Source organism: Homo sapiens, chromosome 7 (assembly GCF_000001405.40).
Source record: "Homo sapiens chromosome 7, GRCh38.p14 Primary Assembly".
Lineage (NCBI taxonomy): Eukaryota > Metazoa > Chordata > Mammalia > Primates > Hominidae > Homo > Homo sapiens.
The window spans coordinates 110,349,165-110,368,099 of record NC_000007.14 but is presented as its reverse complement, the minus strand read 5'-3'; the positions used below and the strand labels follow the sequence as shown (position 1 = coordinate 110,368,099).

General features: G+C 37.7%; 1 long non-coding RNA gene across 1 annotated transcript in view; it reads left to right on the top strand.

The window, feature by feature from the left end:
• LOC105375451 (uncharacterized) overlaps window positions 1–7,254 on the top strand; it is a 173,872-nt gene extending 166,618 nt beyond the window's left edge. The window contains exon 5 of the long non-coding RNA XR_927863.3: window positions 2,810–7,254. This is a non-coding gene — a long non-coding RNA (uncharacterized LOC105375451). The remainder of the gene's footprint in view (window positions 1–2,809) is intronic.
• The last annotated feature ends 11,681 nt before the right edge of the window (window positions 7,255–18,935 follow it).

The window sequence follows — 18,935 nt, the reverse complement described above, 5'->3', positions numbered from 1 at the left end:
TTGGTTCCATATGAACTTTAAAGAAGTTTTTTCCAATTCTGTGAAGAAAGTAATTGGTAGCTTGATGGGGATGGCATTGAATCTATAAATTACCTTGGGCAGTATGGCCATTTTCACAATATTGATTCTTCCTATCCATGAGCATGGAATGTTCTTTCATTTGTTTGTGTCCTCTTTTATTTCGTTGAGCAGTGGTTTGTAGAGAGAAGAATCAAATAGATGCAATAAAAATGATAAAGGGGATATCACCACCGATCCCACAGAAATACAAACTACCATCAGAGAATACTATAAACATCTCTATGCAAATAAACTAGAAAATCTAGAAGAAATGGATAAATTCCTCGACACATACACCCTCCCAAGACTAAACCAGGAAGAAGTTGAATCTGTTAATAGACCAGTAAGAGGCTCTGATATTGAGGCAATAATTAATAGCTTACCAACCAAAAAAAGTCCAGGAACAGACGGATTCACAGCCGAATTCTACCAGAGGTGCAAGGAGGAGCTGATACCATTCCTTCTGAAACTATTCCAATCAATATAAAAAGAGGGAATCCTTCCTAACTCCTTTTACGAGGCCAGCATCATCCTGATACCAAAGCCTGGCAGAGACACAACAAAAAAAGAATTTTATACCAATATTCCTAATGAACATCAAAGCAAAAATCCTCAATAAAATACTGGCAATCCAATCCAGCAGCACATCAAAAAGCTTATCCACCATGTTCAAGTGGGCTTCATCCCTGGGATGCAAGGCTGGTTCAACATACGCAAATCAATAAATGTAATCCAGCATATAAACAGAACCAAAGACAAAAACCACATGATTATCTTAGTAGATGCAGAAAAGGCCTTTGACAAAATTCAACAACCCTTCATGCTAAAAACTCTCAATAAATTAGGTATTGATGGAATGTATCTCAAAATAGTAAGAGCTATTTATGACAAACCCACAGCCAATATCATACTGAATGGGCAAAAACTGGAAGCATTCCCTTTGAAGACTGGCACAAGACAGGGATGCCCTCTCTCACCACTCCTGTTCAACATAGTGTTGGAAGTTCTGGCCAGGACAATCCGGCAGGAGAAAGAAATAAAGAGTATTCAATTAGGAAAAGAGGAAATCTAATTGTCCCTGTTTGCAGATGACATGATTGTATATCTAGAAAACCCCATTGTCTCAGCCCCAAATCTCCTTAAGCTGATAAGCAACTCCAGCAAAGTCTCAGGATACAAAATCAATGTGCAAAAATCACAAGCATTCTTATACACCAATAACAGACAAACAGAGAGCCAAATCATGAGTGAACTCCCATTCACAATTGCTTCAAAGAGAATAAAATACCTAGGAATCCAACTTGCAAGGGATGTGAAGGACCTTTTCTAGCTATTTTGAATTGTTTAATGCATTATTGTTAATTTTAGCCATCCTACTCTGCAATAGAACGCCAGAACTTAATCCTCCTATCTAGCTGTAGCTTTATACCTATTGCTCAGTTTCTCACCATTGCCCCTCACCTCATTCTTCCTCATCCTATAGTAACCATTATTCTACTCTTTACTTATGTGAAAATAACTTTCTATCATTCATACATGAATGAGATCATGCAATGTCTTTCTTTACATGGCTTATTTTACTTAATGTCCTCGAGGTTTATCTATGTTGCCACAAATGACAGGATTTCATTCTTATTTTTGGCTGGATAGTCTTCCACTATGTATGTATACCCCACATTTTTTAATCCATTCATCCATTGGTAGACATTTTGGTTGATTCCAAATCTTGGCTATTGTGAATAATGCTGTGATAAACATGAAAATGAAGATATCTCTTTGATATACTTGTTTTTCTTCTTTCTCTACCCAGCAGTGAGATTGCTGGATCATAGGGTAGCTCTATTTTTAATTTTTTGAAGAACTTTGATACTGCTTTCTGTAATGGACGTACTAATTTATATCCCCACTAGCAATATGTAAAGGTTCCTTTTTCTCTACATCCTCACCAACACTTGTCATCTTTTGATTTTTTGATAGTAGCTACTTAACCAAGCAGGTAAAAGATCTCTAAAATGAAAATTACAGAATATTAATAAAATTAATTGAAAAAAACACACAAAAAAATGAAAAGATATCTCATGTTCATGGACTCGAAGAATTAATATTTTTAAAATGACCATATACCTCAAAGCAATACACTAATTTAACACAATCTCTAACAAAATACCGATGGCATCCTTCACAGAAATACAAAAGTGCTAGAGGAAAACATAAGGGAAAAGCTCTGTGAGATTGGTCTATGCAAAGATGTTTTTTAATATACAACCTCAAAAGGACAGACAAACAAAATCAAATATAGGCAAATAAGATTACATCAAACTGAAAACCTTCTACACAACAATGGAAATAATCAACAGAGCAAGAGATAGCCAACAGAATGGGAGACTACATTTGCAAGCTATACGTATGGCAAATTTAATGTCTAAAATATACAAGGAATTCAAACAACTCAAAAACAAAAACAAAAGATTAAAAATAAGAAAAAATATCAAAATAGATATTTCTTAAAAGAAGACATGCAAATCGACAACAGATATGATATGGTTTGGCTATGTCCCCACCCAAATCTCATCTTGAATGTAACTCCCCCAATTCCCAAGAGTCATGAGAGGAACCAATGGGAGTTAATTGAATTATTGGGGCAGATCTTTCCTGCTCTGTTCTTGTGATAGTGAATGAAACTCACAGGATCAGGTGGGTTTAAAAATGGGAGTTTCCCTACACAAGCTCTCTCTTTTTCTGCTTGCAGCCATCCATGTATGATGTGACTTGCTCCTACATGCCTTCCACCATGATTATGAGGCCTCCTGAGCCATGTGGAACTGTAAGTCTGTTAAACCTCTTTTTCTTCCCAGTCTTGGGTATGTCTTTATCAGCAGTGTGAAAATGGACTAATACAAGATATATTAAAGAATACTCAACATCACTAATCATCAGGGAAATGCAAATCAAAATTACGAGATAGCACCTCACTCCAGTCAGAATGGCTATGGCTACTATAAAAAATTATGTCACTTTTGATCTGTAGCCATTATATTTAAAAGTTTCATCAATTCTAAGATGCATGTTTATAAAAAATCAATCTCTCTGAAATCAGGAGTATTTAATAATTGGAGACATTAAATTAAAGAAAATGCTATGTATCTTATTATTTTAAAGACAGCATCAGAATTCCCCAGGGGTTAAATTTGTAACATCATGTCCATGTGTAATTTTAAATTTATCCAATAAGAATAAGATGGTTGATTGAAGGTGCTTAATGCTTATTCCCATCCTCACAAAAATGGACCAAAACAGTAAACAAATAACTACATTTTGACCAGAGTGACTAAAGGAGAGTGCTGAAGTATAGCAAGGGAGTGGCAGAAACTCTGTGTGGCATGGAAACTCAGGATGGCTTCATAGAAAAGGGGTTGAAACACCTTGCTTCTGCCAGCCCATTCCCCGAGTTGGGATCAACTCAGAAACCAGGAGGGCCTTCTCTCTCTAAGGAAGAGGTAAGCAAGAGGCCCTGAGAGACCCTCATCACCACCACAGGCATTTGCAGTCTTCACTACTGGAGAAGCCTACAGTCCTCACAGGCACTGAGTCCAGTTTAGGGAGCTGCCTGGAGTTCATACAGCTGCATTACTCCAGGGGAGGAGCCCACATTGTGCCCTGCTCCTTGTTTTCCAACCTCCTACTGCAAGGTTCCATTTTCAAACCACAGCCCCTCTTAGAGTGTACCCTGCTCCAGGGACTAGTAGCCATTGCATCCCTCCATCCCAGAGATTCTGCTGTTATGGCTTCACATAGACACACAGTACTGCACCACATTCTCCAGCTATACTGCCCAGGAATCACTCTACCTCCCCCATCCCTGTTGCTGCTGCACCTCAACCTGCTACTTGAAACCACAGGCCCAGCAAAGAAACTGTGCTCCAAGTGCCCAAACCAATTCAGTTCCCTGTTCCGCAGGAATCAGAGCTTCAGCATAGGGAAGCAGCCATGACCCCAGCATCGAAGCCCATGCTGTGCCTTGCCCTTAGGAGACCAGGTGCTCTCATCTAGTGGAAAAGCTGTACCTAAGCCTGTGGAGCAGTCAAGGCCCCTCAGCTTTAACCAATCTGATTCCCCACCCCCAGGGAATCGCAGTTTTGGCCCTGAGAGCAGCTGAAAGCCTGACACTCAAGCCCATATGGAACCTTGTTCCCTGGAAACCAGATGCACGTGCCTTTCAGAGTAGCTGTGCCCTCAGCACTTGAAGCAACCCAGTACCTTGCCTCTCTGAATCAGAGCTTCAGCCCAGGGGAGTAGCTGTGACACTGGCGCTTGAGCCCATATAGCATCAGACCTCTCAGATATCCAGAGCCTGGTCCAGAAGAGCTGGACCAGGTACCCCCTGGCACCTGAGTGATGTGGTGCCTTACACTCAGGGAAACAGAGCCTTGGATGAGCTGTGCCACCCCACTGTCTGGGCTGAACAGCTGCAGTGGCCTGCTTCCATGAATCTGGACTATCCCACTGAAGTCTGAGTGGTTGAGTTAGGCCATAATTACACTGCTTCTTACCCTCTGGAGTTCAAGTCACTGCTGTACCCTGCCATTCCTGGGTCCTTTCTATCATCACACTTGGCATCACAAAGTTTGAGCCAGTGCTGTATCCTACCACTCCAGTGTCCAGAGTCACCACTGTGTGGTGTAATTTCTCCTGTTGCTCGAGTTACCACTGTGCCCTGTTGTATCTTGGAGCCCAAATTGCAGCTGTTCCCTGCTTTAAGGAACACAATAATGCTCTAGTAACTAACCTCAAAGAAATGAAAATCTATGAATTATTTGAAAAGGAATTTGAAACAATGCTTTAAGGATACTCAGTAAGATACAGGAGAATACAGATAGACAATTTAATGAAATTAGAAAAACAATTCATAATAAAAATGAAAAATTCAACAAAAAGATGTTATAGAAAAGAACCAACAGAGATCTTGGAGCTGAGGAACACTATGAATGAAATAGAAAAAAACGATTGAGAGTCACAGTAAATTACATAAAGGAGAAGGAAGAATCTTTGAACTTGAAGACAGGTCTTTCGAAATCAACTAATCCATGGAAAAAAACAAGTTTAAAAAAAGAGTGAAGAAAGCCTATAGGACTTATGGGATACCATTAAGCAAACAAAGATTTGCATTATGGGAATTCCAGAGTACAAAGAGATGGTGAAGGTCACAGAAACATTATTTAACAAAATAATTATGGAAAACTTCTCAAGTCTTGGAAGCGATTTGGGTATCCAGATCCATTTGGCTCAAACCACAAACAGGTTCAACTCAAAGAGGTCCATATTGAGGCACATTATAATCAAAATGTCAAAAGTCAAAGACAAAGAAAAATTTAAAAGCAACAAGAGAATATCATTAAATGACAGAGAAGAAAATCTCCTTTAGTCTATCCACAGATTTCTCAGCAGAAACTTTTCAGGCCAGGAGAAAATGGGATGATATATTCAAAATGCTGAAAGAAAAATCTGCCAGTCAAGAATACTCTATCTAGTAAAACTGTCCTACAGAAATGAAGGAGAAATAAAGTATTTCCTAGACAAACAAAAGTTGAGGGAATTCATTACCACTAGAACTGCCTTACATGATATGCCTAAGGGAGTGTTTCAACCAGAAATGAAAGCATGATAATTACTAATATGAAAATGTATGAAATAAAACTCATTGGCAGAGGTAAATTCATAATCAAATTCAAAATGCTCTGTGACAGAAATGGTGGTGGGTAAATCTTTCAAATCTCTAGTATGAAGGTTAAAAGTCAAAATGGTAAAAATAAGTAACTATAGTTACCATAAGTTGCTAAGGAATATACAATACAAAAGAATGCAAATTGTGGTAACCCTATTATAAATCATAATGAGGAGGATAAAATATTTGATGTGACCCAAATTAAGTTGTTATCAGCTAAAAATAGCTTATTGTAAGTATAAGATATTTTATGTAAACCCCATGATAACTACAAAGCAAAAAACTACAGCACATACACGAACAAGAAAGAGAAAAAAAAAAATAAAAATTAGCACTACAGAAAATCACCAAATCACCAAGGTGAACAATAAGAGAGGAAGAAAGAAAAGTGATCTAACAATGTCAACAAAATGGCAGCAATAAATCCTTACCTATCATTAAAAAACTTAAATGTAAATAGATTAAACTCTCTTATTAGAAGACAAAAAAGTGGCTGAATGGATTTAAAAAAAGAAGATGCAACTATATTGTGCTTACAAGAGACCATTTTTGTTTTAAGGATAAATAAAGTTTGAAAGTGAGATAGAAGAAGATATTACAGGCCACTAGTAACTAGAAAAAAGCTGAGGTGGTTTTATTTATATCAGTTAAAATAGACATTAAGTCAAGAACTGTTATAACAGACAAAAGGGTCATTATTTAATAATAAAGGAGTCAACTCATCAAGAAGACAATTTATAATTTGTAATCACAATATTTACAATTTTCATAATTATAAATGTAGATGCACTCAACATAAAATCACATAAATATATAAAGCGAATTTTAATGAACATGAGGGAAGAAATAGATAGCAATACAATAATACTAGGGTACTTTAATATCCCACTTTCAATAATGGATAGATCAGCTGGACAGAAGGTTCACAAGGAAATTCTGGAACGGAACTGAACTTTACACCAATTGGACCTTAGAGACACATATAGAGTTTTTCATCTGACAGTAGCAGAATATATATTCTTCTTTAACATTCATGAGATGTACTTCAGTATACACCATATGTTAGGCCACGAAACAAGTCTTAGCAAATTAAAAGATATTGAAATTATATCTAGTATTGTCTCCAACCAGAATAGTACCATTGTAGTTTCATAGTGGAAATCAGCAACAGGAAGAATCTTGGAAAATTTACAAATATGTGGAAATTAAACAACATGCTTCTGAAAAACCAAGGTTAAAGAAAAAAAATAAGAGAAAACTTAAAAAATTTCTTGAGACAAATGGCAATGGAAGCACAACATATCCCAACCTATGGGATACAGCAACAGCAAAAGCAATTCTAAGAGGGAAGTTGATAGCAATAAGTGCCTACATTAAAAATGAAGAAATATCCCCAAAACATAGCCCAACATTATGCTTCAAGGGGCTAGAAAAAGAACAAACTAAACCCAAAGTTAGTAGAAGGAAATAAATAATAAAGATCAGAGAAAAAAATAAATCAAATAGAAAACAGAAAACTACAGAAAAAAATCAATAAAATCAAGAGTTGGATTTTTGAGAAATTAAACAAAATAATCAAATCTGTCAACTAAGAAAAAAAAGAGAGAAGACTCAAAAAATAAAATTAGAAATGAAAGTGGAGACATTATAACAGATATATCAGAAATAAAAAGGGTCATAAGGGACTATTATGAACAATTCTATGCCAACAAATAGAATAAACTAGACGACATTGATAAATTTCTAGAAAAATATAACCTACCAAGTTTGAGTCAGGAAGTAATAGAAAGTTTGAGTAAATCAATAACAAATAAAGAGATGGAAGAGTTTAAAACCTATAAGCCCAAGACCAGGTGGCTTTTTGGTTGAATTCTACCAAAAATTCAAAGAAGCATCATCATCAGTACTTCTTAAATGTATGCAAAAAATAGAGCTAGCAGAAATACTTCCAAACACATTTTCGAAGCCAGCATCACTTTGCTACTTAAACCAGAAAAAGATACCACAAGAGAACAAAACTACAGGCCAATATCTCTGATGATCTTTGATGCAAACATCTTCAATAAAATATTAGCAAACCGAATTCAAGAACACATCAAGAAGATTACACATCATGGCCAAGTGAGATTTATCTCTGCCATGCAAAGCTTTTTTAAAAATTAATCAATATGATATAAAATTAAATCAATGTGATTTATCATATTAACAGAATGCAAGAAAATACGTGATCATCTCAAGTGACACAGAGAAAAGCATTTGACAAAAGTTCAGCATTCTTTCTTCATAAAAACTCTTAACAGTTTAGATACAGAAAGTTTCTCAACATAACAAAGGTCATTTATGAAATATCCACAGATAACATCATATCAGTGGGGAACAAGTGAAAGTTTTCTACTAAGATCCAGTTCAAGGTAGGAATGCACACCTTTACCACTTCTATTCAATATAGTACTGCAAGTACAATACAATACTGCAAGAGCAATCAGAGAAGAAGAAAAAATAAAGGCATCCAGACTGAGAAGAAAGAAATAAGATTATCTGTATTTGCAGATGACATAATTGTATTGTAGAAATCCCTAAATATTTCACAAAAAAACCACACTATGACAAATAAAGATATTCAGTAAAGTTGCAGGATACAAAAGGAACATACAAAAATCATTAGCATTTCTATACACCAATAGAAATGTAGCTGAAAAAAAAAATCAAGAAAACAATTTCATTTAGAATAGCATAAAAAATACCAAAGGGGTGAAACATTTATATAATGAAAATTATAAAACTTAAATGAAAGAAATTGAAGAAGACACAAAAATTGGAAAGATAACATGTGCTCATGGATTGGAAGAAGTAAAATTGTTAAAATGTCCTGCTACCCCAAATCAGTATGCAGATGTAACACAATCCCTATCAAAATTCCAATGGCATTCTTCATAGAGATAGCAAAAACAATAGAAATAGAAATAGAGAAACAATTTTAAAATTTATATAGAACCACAAAAAACCAGACTAGCCAAAATAAAACAAAGACAAAGTTGGAAGCATCAAGCATCGCACATCCTGATTTAAAGTTATATTCCAAAGCTATAGTAATCAAAATAGTATGATACTAGCATTAAAACAGAACCATAGACCCAAGAAACAGGATAGAAAGCCCACAGATAAATTCAAACATATATGATCGACTGATTTTCAACAAGGGCACCAAGAGAACACAATGGGAAAAGGATAGTTTCCTCAGTAAAAGGTGCTGTGAAAACTTGATTTCCACATGCAAAATGATAAAATTGGACACAATTTTACACCTATGTAAAAATCAACTCAAAATGAATGAAAGGCCTAAGTGTTAGACCTGAAATCATAAAACCATAAAACTCCTAGAAGAGAACATCACGTGAAATCTCCTTGACATTGCCTGACAATGACTTTTTGGATATCACATCAAAAGCTCAGGCTACAAAAGCAAAATGATAATAAATGACCATTACTGGTTTATGTGTTTACTATACTATAAATTATTATTTTAGAGTGTACTTTTTCTATTTATTAAAAACAATGTTAATTGTAAAACAGTATCAGGCAGGTCCTTCAGGAAGTACCCAGAAGAAGGCATTGTTGTCATGGGAGATGAGAGCATATGTGTTATTGATGCTGAAGGCCTTCCAGTGGGACAAGATGTGGAGGCAGGAGACAGTGATATGGATGATCTTGACCCTGAGTAGGCCTAGCCTAATATGTATGTTTATGTCTTCGTTTTTAACAAGAAAATTTAAAAGTAAAAAAGTAAAATAATTTTAACATAGAACAAAGCTAATAGCATAGGGATAAAAATAGAAAATATTTTTGTACAGCTGTACAATGTGCTTTTGTTTTAAGCTAAGTGTTATTATAAAAGAGTCAAACAGATAAAAACCATTAACAAGTTTATAAAGTAAAAATGTTACAGTAAGTAGGGTAAGTTTATAATTGAAGAAAGAAAATGTAAAAATAAGTTTAGTGTAGCCCAAGTGTACAGTGTTTATAAAGTCTACAGTAGTGTACAGTAATGTCCTAGTCCTTCACATTCACTCATTGCTCACTCAGTGACTCACCCAGATCAGCTTCTAGTTCAGCAAGCTCCATTCATGGTAAGTGCTCTATATAGGTGTACCACTTATTATCTTTTATACCATGTTTTTACTGTACCTTTTCTATGTTTAGATATACAAACACTTATCCTTACGTTACATTTGATTACAGTATTTTACTACAATAACATCCTATACAGGTTTATAGTGTAGAAACAATAGGCTATACCATGTAACCTAAATATGTAGTAGCATATGGCATCAGGTTTGTGTAAGTGCACTCTATGGTGTTCAAAAAACAACAAAATTACCTAACAGTGCATTTCTCAGAATGTGTCCACATCATTAGGTGATGTATGACTGTATTTAAAAAGGTGCTCCGTACCACCATTCATCAAGGAAATGAAAATTAAAACCACTATGAGATATCACCTCACACCTGTTTGAATGGCTGTTATCAAAAGGACAAGAGATAATAAATGTTGGCAAGGTTGCAGAGAAAAGGAGACCCTAATACATTGTTAGTGGGAATGTAGCTTGGTACAAATGTTATGGAAGATGATCTGGAGGTTCCTAAGAAATTAAAAAATAGAACTACCATATTACCCAGCAATCCCTTTTTTGGGGTATATACCCAAAGGAGATGAAATCATCATCCCTGCACTTCTGTGTTCACTGCAGCAATATTCAGAATAGCCAAAATATGGAAACAACCTAAACGTCTGTCAACAGATGAATGGATAATAACAATAACAATGGGGCACTATATAGCTAATATAATAGCTAATAGCTATTATATTATAGCTATTGTAATTGTATATATATATATATATATACACATTCTATATGTACATATATATGTGCAATGAAATGTTATTCAGTCTTAAAAAAGGAATAGACCTGTGTGACATTATGCTAAGGGAAATAAACCAGACACAGAAAGAAAAATAGTACATTGCCTCACTCACATGTGGAATCTAAAAATAAAATAAAAGGTCAAATATGGATTCCCGGGCATGATGGCTGAATAGGAACAACTCTGGTCTGCAGCTCCCAGAGACGAATGCAGAAGGCGGGTGATTTCTGCATTTCCAACTAAGGTACCTGGTTCATCTCATTGGGACTGGTTAGACAATGGATGCAGCCCACCGAGGATGAACAAAAGCAGGGTGGGGCATTGCCTCACCTGGGAAGCACAAAGGGTCAGGGAACAACCTCCCCTAGCTAAGGGAGGCCATGAGGGACTGTGCCATGAAGGATGGTGCTATCAGGCTCAGATACTACGCTTTTCCCATGGTCTTAACAACCCACAGACCAGGAGATTCTCTTGGGTGCCTATACCACAAGGGCCCTGGGTTTCAAGCAGAAAACTGGGCAGCCGTTTGGGCAGACACTGAGATAGCTGCAGGAGTTTTATTTTGTACTCCAGTGGCACCTGGAACACCAGCAAGACAGAACCGTTTACTCCCCTGGAAAGGGGGCTGAAGTCAGGGAAGCAAGTGGTCTTGCTCAGCAGATCCCACCCACACCGAGCCCAGCAAGCTAAGACCCACTGACTTGAAATTCTCGCTGCCAGCACGGCAGTCTGAAGTGGACCTGAGATGCTCGAGCTTGGTGGGGGGAGGGGCATCCACCATTACTGAGCCTTGAGTAGGCTGTTTGCCTCTCACAGTGTAAACAAAGCCACCGGGAAGTTTGGACTGGACGGAGCCCACTGCAGCACCGCAAAGCCACTGTAGCCAAACTGCCTTTCTAGATTCCTCTTCTCTGGGCAGGGCATCTCTGAGAGAAAGTCAGCAGCCCCAGTCAGGGGATTATAGATAAAACTCCCATCTCCCTGGGACAGAGCACCTGGGGGAAGGGGCAGCTGTGGGTGAAGCTTCAGTAGACTTAAACGTTCCTGCCTGCCAACTCTGAAGAGAGCAGCAGATCTCCCAGCACAGTGCTTGAGCTCTGCTATGGGACAGACTGCCTCCTTAAGTGGGTCCCTGACCCCTGTGCATCCTGACAGGGAGACATCTCCCAGCAGGGTTTGACAGACACCTCATACAGGAGAGCTCTGGCTAGCAGGTGGTGGGTGCCCCTCTGGGATGAAACTTCCACAGGAAGGATCAGGCAGCAATCATTGCTGTTCTGTAGCCTCCACTGGTGATACCCAGGCAAACAAGGTCTGGAGTGGACCCCCAGCAAACTCCAGCAGACTTGCAGAAGAGGGGCCTGACTGTTAGAAGGAAAACTAAGAAACAGAAAGCAATAGCATCAACCTTGACAAAAAGGACAACCACTCAAAAACTTCATCCATAGGTTACCAACAGCAAAGACCAAAGTTTGATAAATCCATGAAGATGAGGATAAACCAGTGCAAAAAGGCTGAAAATTCCAAAAACCAGAATGCCTTATTTCCTCCAAAGGACCACAGTCCTCACCAGCAAGGGAACAAAAGTGGACGGAGAGTGAGTTTGACGAATTGTCAGAAGTAGACTTCAGAAGGTGGGTAATAACAAACTCCTCCAAGCTAACGGAGCATGTTCTAACACGATGCAAGGAAGCTAAGAACCTTGACAAAAGGTTAGAGGAGTTGCTAACTAGAATAACCAGTTTAGAGAAGGACATAAATGACCTGATGGAGCTGAAAAACACAGCACGAAAACTTCATGATGCATACACAAGTATCAATAGCTAAATCGATCAAGTGGAATAAGGGATATCAGAGATTGAAGAGCAACTTAATGAAATAAAGTGTGAAGACAAGATAAGAGAAAAAAGAATGAAAAGGAACAAATAAGTCCTCCAAGAGATATGGAACTATGTGAAAAGACCAAACCTACATTTGATCGGTGTACCTGAAAGTGATGAGGAGAATGGAACCAAGTTGGAAAACACTCTTCAGGATATTATCCAGCAGAACTTCCCCAGCCTAGAAAGACTGGCCAACATTCAAATTCAGGAAATACAGAGAACACCACAAAGATACTCCTTGAGAAGAGCTACCCCAAGACACATAATTGTCAGATTCACCAAAGTAGAAATGAAGGAAAAAATGTTAAGGGCAGCCGGAGAGAAGGGTTGGGTTACCCACAAAGGGAATCCCATCAGACTAACAGCAGATCTTTCAGCAGAAACCCTGCAAGCCAGAAGAGAGTGGGGGCCAATATTCAACCTTCTTAAGGAAAATAATTTTCAACCCAGAATTTCATATTCAGCCAAATGAAGGAGAAATAAAATCCTTTACAGACAAGCAAATGCTGAGGGATTTTGTCACCACCAGGCCTGCCTTAGAAGAGCTCCTGAAGGAAGCACTAAATATGGAAAGGAAAAACCGGTACCAGCCACTGCAAAAACAAGCCAAAATGTAAAGACCATTGACACTATGAAGAAACTGCATCAACTAATGGGCAAAATAACTCACTACCATCATAATGCTGATATCAAATTCACACATAATAAAATTAACTTTAAATGTAAACAGGCTAAATGCCCCAATCAAAAAGCGCAAACTGGCAAATTGGATAGAGTCAAGACCCATTGGTGTGGTGTATTCAGGAGACCCATCTCAAGTGCAAAGACACACATAGGCTCAAAATAAGGGATGGAGGAAGATTTACCAAGCAAATGGAAAGCAAAAAAAAAAAAAAAAAAAAAAAAAAGAAAGAAAAAAAAAGCGCGGAGTCTCTAATATAACAGACTTTAAACCAATAAAGATAAAAAAGTCAAAGAAGGGCATTACATAATGGTAAAGGGATCAATGCAACAAGAAGGGTTAAACTATCCTAAATACATATGCACCTGATACAGGAGCACACAGATTCATAAAGCAAGTTCTTAGAGACCTGCAAAGACACTTAGACTCCCAAACAATAGTGGAAGACTTTAACACCCCACTGTCAATATTAGACAGATCAAAGAGACAGAAAATTATCAAGGAGATTCAGGACTTGAACTCAGCTCTGGACCAAGCAGACCTAATAGACGTCTACAGAACTCTCCACCCCAAATCAACAGAATATACATTCTTCTCAGCACCACATAGCACTTATTCTGAAATCGACCACATAATGGAAGTAAAGCACTCCTCAACAAATGCAAAAGAACAGAAATCATAACAGTCTCTCAGACCCCTGTGCAATCAAATTAGAACTCAGGATTAAGAAACTCCCTCAAAACTGCACAACTACATGGAAACTGAACAATCTGCTCCTGAATGACTACTAGGTAAATAACAGAATTAAGACAGAAATAAATAAGTCCTTTGAAACCAATGAGAACAAAAACACAACATAGCAGAATATCTGGGACACAGCTAAAGCAGTGTGTAGAGGGAACTTTATAGCACTAAATGCCCACAGGAGAAAGTGGAAAGATCTAAAATCTACACCCTAACATCACCATTAAAAGAACTAGAGAAGCAAGAGGAAACAAATTCAAAAGCTAGCAGAAGACAAGAAATAACTAAGATCAGAGCAGAACTCAAGGAGATAGAGACAAGAAAAACCCGTCAAAAAAACAATGAGTCCAGGAGTTGGTTTTTTGAAAAGATTAACAAAATAGACCACTAGCCAGAATAATAAAGAAGAAAAGAGGGAAGAATCAAATAGACACAATAACAAATGATAGAGGGAAGATCACCACTGATCCCACAGAAATACAAACTACCATCAGAGAATACGATAAGCACCTTTACACAAATGAAATAGAAATAGAAAATCTAGAAGAAATGGATAAATTTCTGGACACATACACCCTCCCAAGAGTAAACTAGGAAAAGTTGAATCCCTGAATAGACCAATAACAAGTTCTGAAATTGAGGCAGTAATTAATAGCCTACCAGCCATAAAAAGCCCAGGACTGGATGGATTCACAGGCAAATTCTACCAGAGGTACAAAGAGGAGCTGGTACCATTCCTTCTGAAACTATTCCAAACAATAGAAAAAGAGGGACTCCTCCATAACTCATTTTATGAGGCCAGCATCATCCTGATACCAAAACGTGGCAGAGACACAACAAAAAAAGAAAATTTCAGGCAGATATCCCTGATGAACCTCGATGCGAAAATCCTCAATAAAAAACTGGAAAAATGAATCTAGCAGCATATTAAAAAGCTTATCCATCAAAATCAAGTTGGCTTCATCCCTGGGATGCAAGGCTGGTTTAACATACATAAGTCAATAAATGTAATCCATTACATAAACAGAACCAATGACAAACAACACATGATTATCTCAATAGATGAAGAAAATGCCTCTGATAAAATTCAATCCCCCTTCATGCTAGAAACTCTCAATAAACTAGGTATCGATGGAACATATCTCAAAATAATAAGAGCTATTTATGACAAACCCACAGCCAATATCATACTGAAGGGGCAAAAGCTGGAAGCGTTCCTTTGAAAACCGGCACAAGACAAGGATGCCCTCTCTCACCACTCCTATTCAACATAATATTGGCAGTTCTGGCCAGGGCAATCAGGCAAGAGAAGGAAATGAAGGGTATTCAAATAGGAAAAGAGAAAGTTAAATTATCTCTGTTTGCAGATGACATGATTGTATATTTAGAAAACCCCATTGTCTCAGCCCGAAACCTCCTTAAGCTGATAAGCAACTTCGGCAAAGTCTCAGGATACTAAATCAATGTGCAAAAATCATAAGCATTCCTATACACCAATAATGGACAAACAGAGAGGCAAATCATGAGCAAACTCCCATTCACAATTGCTACAAAGAGAATAAAATACCTAGGAATACCACTTACAATGGATGTGAAGGACCTCTTCAAGAGAACTACAAATCACTGCTCAAGGAAATAAGAAAGGACACACACAAATGGAAAAATCTTCCATGCTCATGGATAGGAAGAATCAATATTGGGAAAATGGCCAGACTGCCCAAAATAATTGATAGGTTCAATGCGATCACCATCAAGCTACCATTGACTTTCTTCACAGAATTAGAAAAAAACTACTTTAAATTTCATATGAAACCAAAAAAGAGCCCGTATAGCCAAGACAATGCTAGGCAAAAAGAATAAAGCTGGAGGCATCACGCTATCTGACTTCAAACTATACTACAAGGCTACAGTAACCGAAACAGCATGGTACTGGTACCAAAACAAAACAGGCATTTGGACCAATGGAACAGAACAGAGGCCTCAAAAATAACACCACGCATCTACAACCATCTGATCTTTGACAAACCTGACAAAAACAAGCGATGGGGAAAGGATTCCCTATTGAATAAATGGTGTTGGGAAAACTGGCCAGCCATATGCAGAAAACTGAAACTGGATCCCTTCCTTACACCTTATACAAAACTTAACTCAAGATGGATTAAAGATTTAAACATAGGACCTAAAACCATAAAAATCCTAGAAGAAAACCTTGGCAATACCATTCAGGACATAGGCCTGGGCAAAGACTTCATGACTAAAACACCAAAAGCAATGGCAACAAAAGCCAAAATTGACAAATGGGATCTAATTAAACTAAAGAGCTTTTGCACAACAACAGAAACTATCACCAGAGTGAACAGGCAACCTACAAAATGGGGTAAAATTTTTGCGATCTATCCATCTGACAAAGGGCTAATATCCAGAATCTATAAGGAACATAAACAAATTTACAAGAAAAAGAAAACCCCATCAAAAAGTGGGCAAAGGATATGAACAGATACTTTTCTTTTTTTATTTTGTTATTATTATTATGCTTTAAGTTTTAGGGTACATGTGCACAATGTGCAGGTTAGTTACATATGTATACATGTGCCATGCTGATGTGCTGCACCCATTAACTCGTCGTTTAGCATTAGGTATATCTCCTAATGCTATCCCTACCCCCTACCCCTACCCCACAACAGTCTCCAGAGTGTGATGTTCCCCTTCCTGTGTCCATGTGTTCTCATTGTTCAATTCCCACCTATGAGTGAGAACATGCAGTGTTTTGTTTTTTGTCCTTGCGATAGTTTACTGAGAATGGTGATTTCCAATTTCATCCATGTCCCTACAAAGGACATGAACTCATCATTTTTTATGGCTGCATAGTATTCCATGGTGTATATGTGCCACATTTTCTTAATCCAGTCTATCATTGTTGGACATTTGGGTTGGTTCCAAGTCTTTGTTATTGTGAATAGTGCCACAATAAACATACGTGCACATGTGTCTTTATAGCAGCATGATTTACAGTCCTTTGGGTATATACCCAGTAATGGGATGGCTGGGTCAAATGGTATTTCTAGTTCTAGATGCCTGAGGAATCGCCACAGTGACTTCCACAAGGGTTGAACTAGTTTACAGTCCCACCAACAGTGTAAAAGTGTTCCTATTTCTCCACATCCTCTCCAGCATTTGCTGTTTCCTGACTTTTTAATGATTGCCATTCTAACTGGGGTGAGATGGTATCTCATTGTGGTTTTGATTTGCATTTCTCTGATGGCCAGTGATGATGAGCATTTTTTCATGTGTTTTTTGGCTGCATAAATGTACTCTTTTGAGAAGTGTCTGTTCATGTCCTTTGCCCACTTTTTGATTGGGTTGTTTGATTTTTTCTTGTAAATTTGTTTGAGTTCATTGTAGATTCTGGATATTAGCCCTTTGTCAGATGAGTAGCTTGCGAAAATTTTCTCCCATTTTGTGGGTTGCCTGTTCACTCTGATGGTAGTTTCTTTTGCTGTGCAGAAGCTCTTTAGTTTAATTAGATCCCATTTGTCAATTTTGGCTTTTGTTGCCATTGCTTTTGGTGTTTTAGACATGAAGTCCTTGCCCATGCCTATGTCCTGAATGGTAATGCCTAGGTTTTCTTGTAGGGTTTTTATGGTTTTAGGTCTAACATTTAAGTCCTTAATCCATTTTGAATTAATTTTTGTATAAGGTGTAAAGAAGGGATCCAGTTTCAGCTTTCTACATATGGCTAGCCAGTTTTCCCAGCACCATTTATTAAATAGGGAATCCTTTCCCCATTGCTTGTTTTTCTCAGGTTTGTCAAAGATCAGATAGTTGTAGATATGCGGCGTTATTTCTGAGGGCTCTGTTCTGTTCCATTGACCTATATCTCTGTTTTGGTAGCAGTACCATGCTGTTCTGGTTACTGTAGCCTTGTAGTATAGTTTGAAGTCAGGTAGCGTGATGTCTCCAGCTTTTTTCTTTTGGCTTATGATTGACTTGGCAATGCAGGCTCTTTTTTGGTTCCATATGAACTTTAAAGTAGTTTTTTCCAATTCTGTGAAGAAAGTCATTGGTAGCTTGATGGGGATGGCATTGAGTGTATAAATTACCTTGGGCAGTATGGCCATTTTCACAATATTGATTCTTCCTACCCATGAGCATGGAATGTTCATGCATTTCTTTGTATCATCTTTTATTTCGTTGAGCAGTGGTTTGTAGTTCTCCTTGAAGAGGTCCTTCACATCCCTTGTAAGTTGGATTCCTAGGTATTTTATTCTCTTTGAAGCAATTGTGAGTGGGAGTTCACTCATGATTTGGCTCTCTGTTTGTCTGTTATTGGTGTATAAGAATGCTTGTGATTTTTGTACATTGATTTTGTATCCTGAGACTTTGCTGAAATTGCTTATCAGCTTAAGGAGATTTTGGGCTGAGACAATGGGGTTTTCTAGATACACAATCATGTCATCTGCAAACAGGGACAATTGGACTTCCTCTTTTCCTAATTGAATACCCTTTATTTCCTTCTCCTGCCTAATTGCCCAGGCCAGAACTTCCAACACTATGTTGAATAGAAGTGGTGAGAGAGGGCATCCCTGTCTTGTGCCAGTTTTCAAAGGGAATGCTTCCAGTTTTTGCCCATTCAGTATGATATTGGCTATGGGTTTGTCATAGATAGCTCTTCAGAATTTTAGACCAATATCCTTGATGAACATTGATGCAAAAATCCTCAATAAAATACTGGCAAACTGAATCCAGCAGCACATCAAAAAGCTTATCCACCATGATCAAGTGGGCTTCATTCCTGGGATGCAAGGCTGGTTCAATATACGCAAATCAATAAATGTAATCCAGCATATAAACAGAACCAAAGACAAAAACCACATGATTATCTCAGTAGACGCAGAAAAGGCCTTTGACAAAATTCAACAAT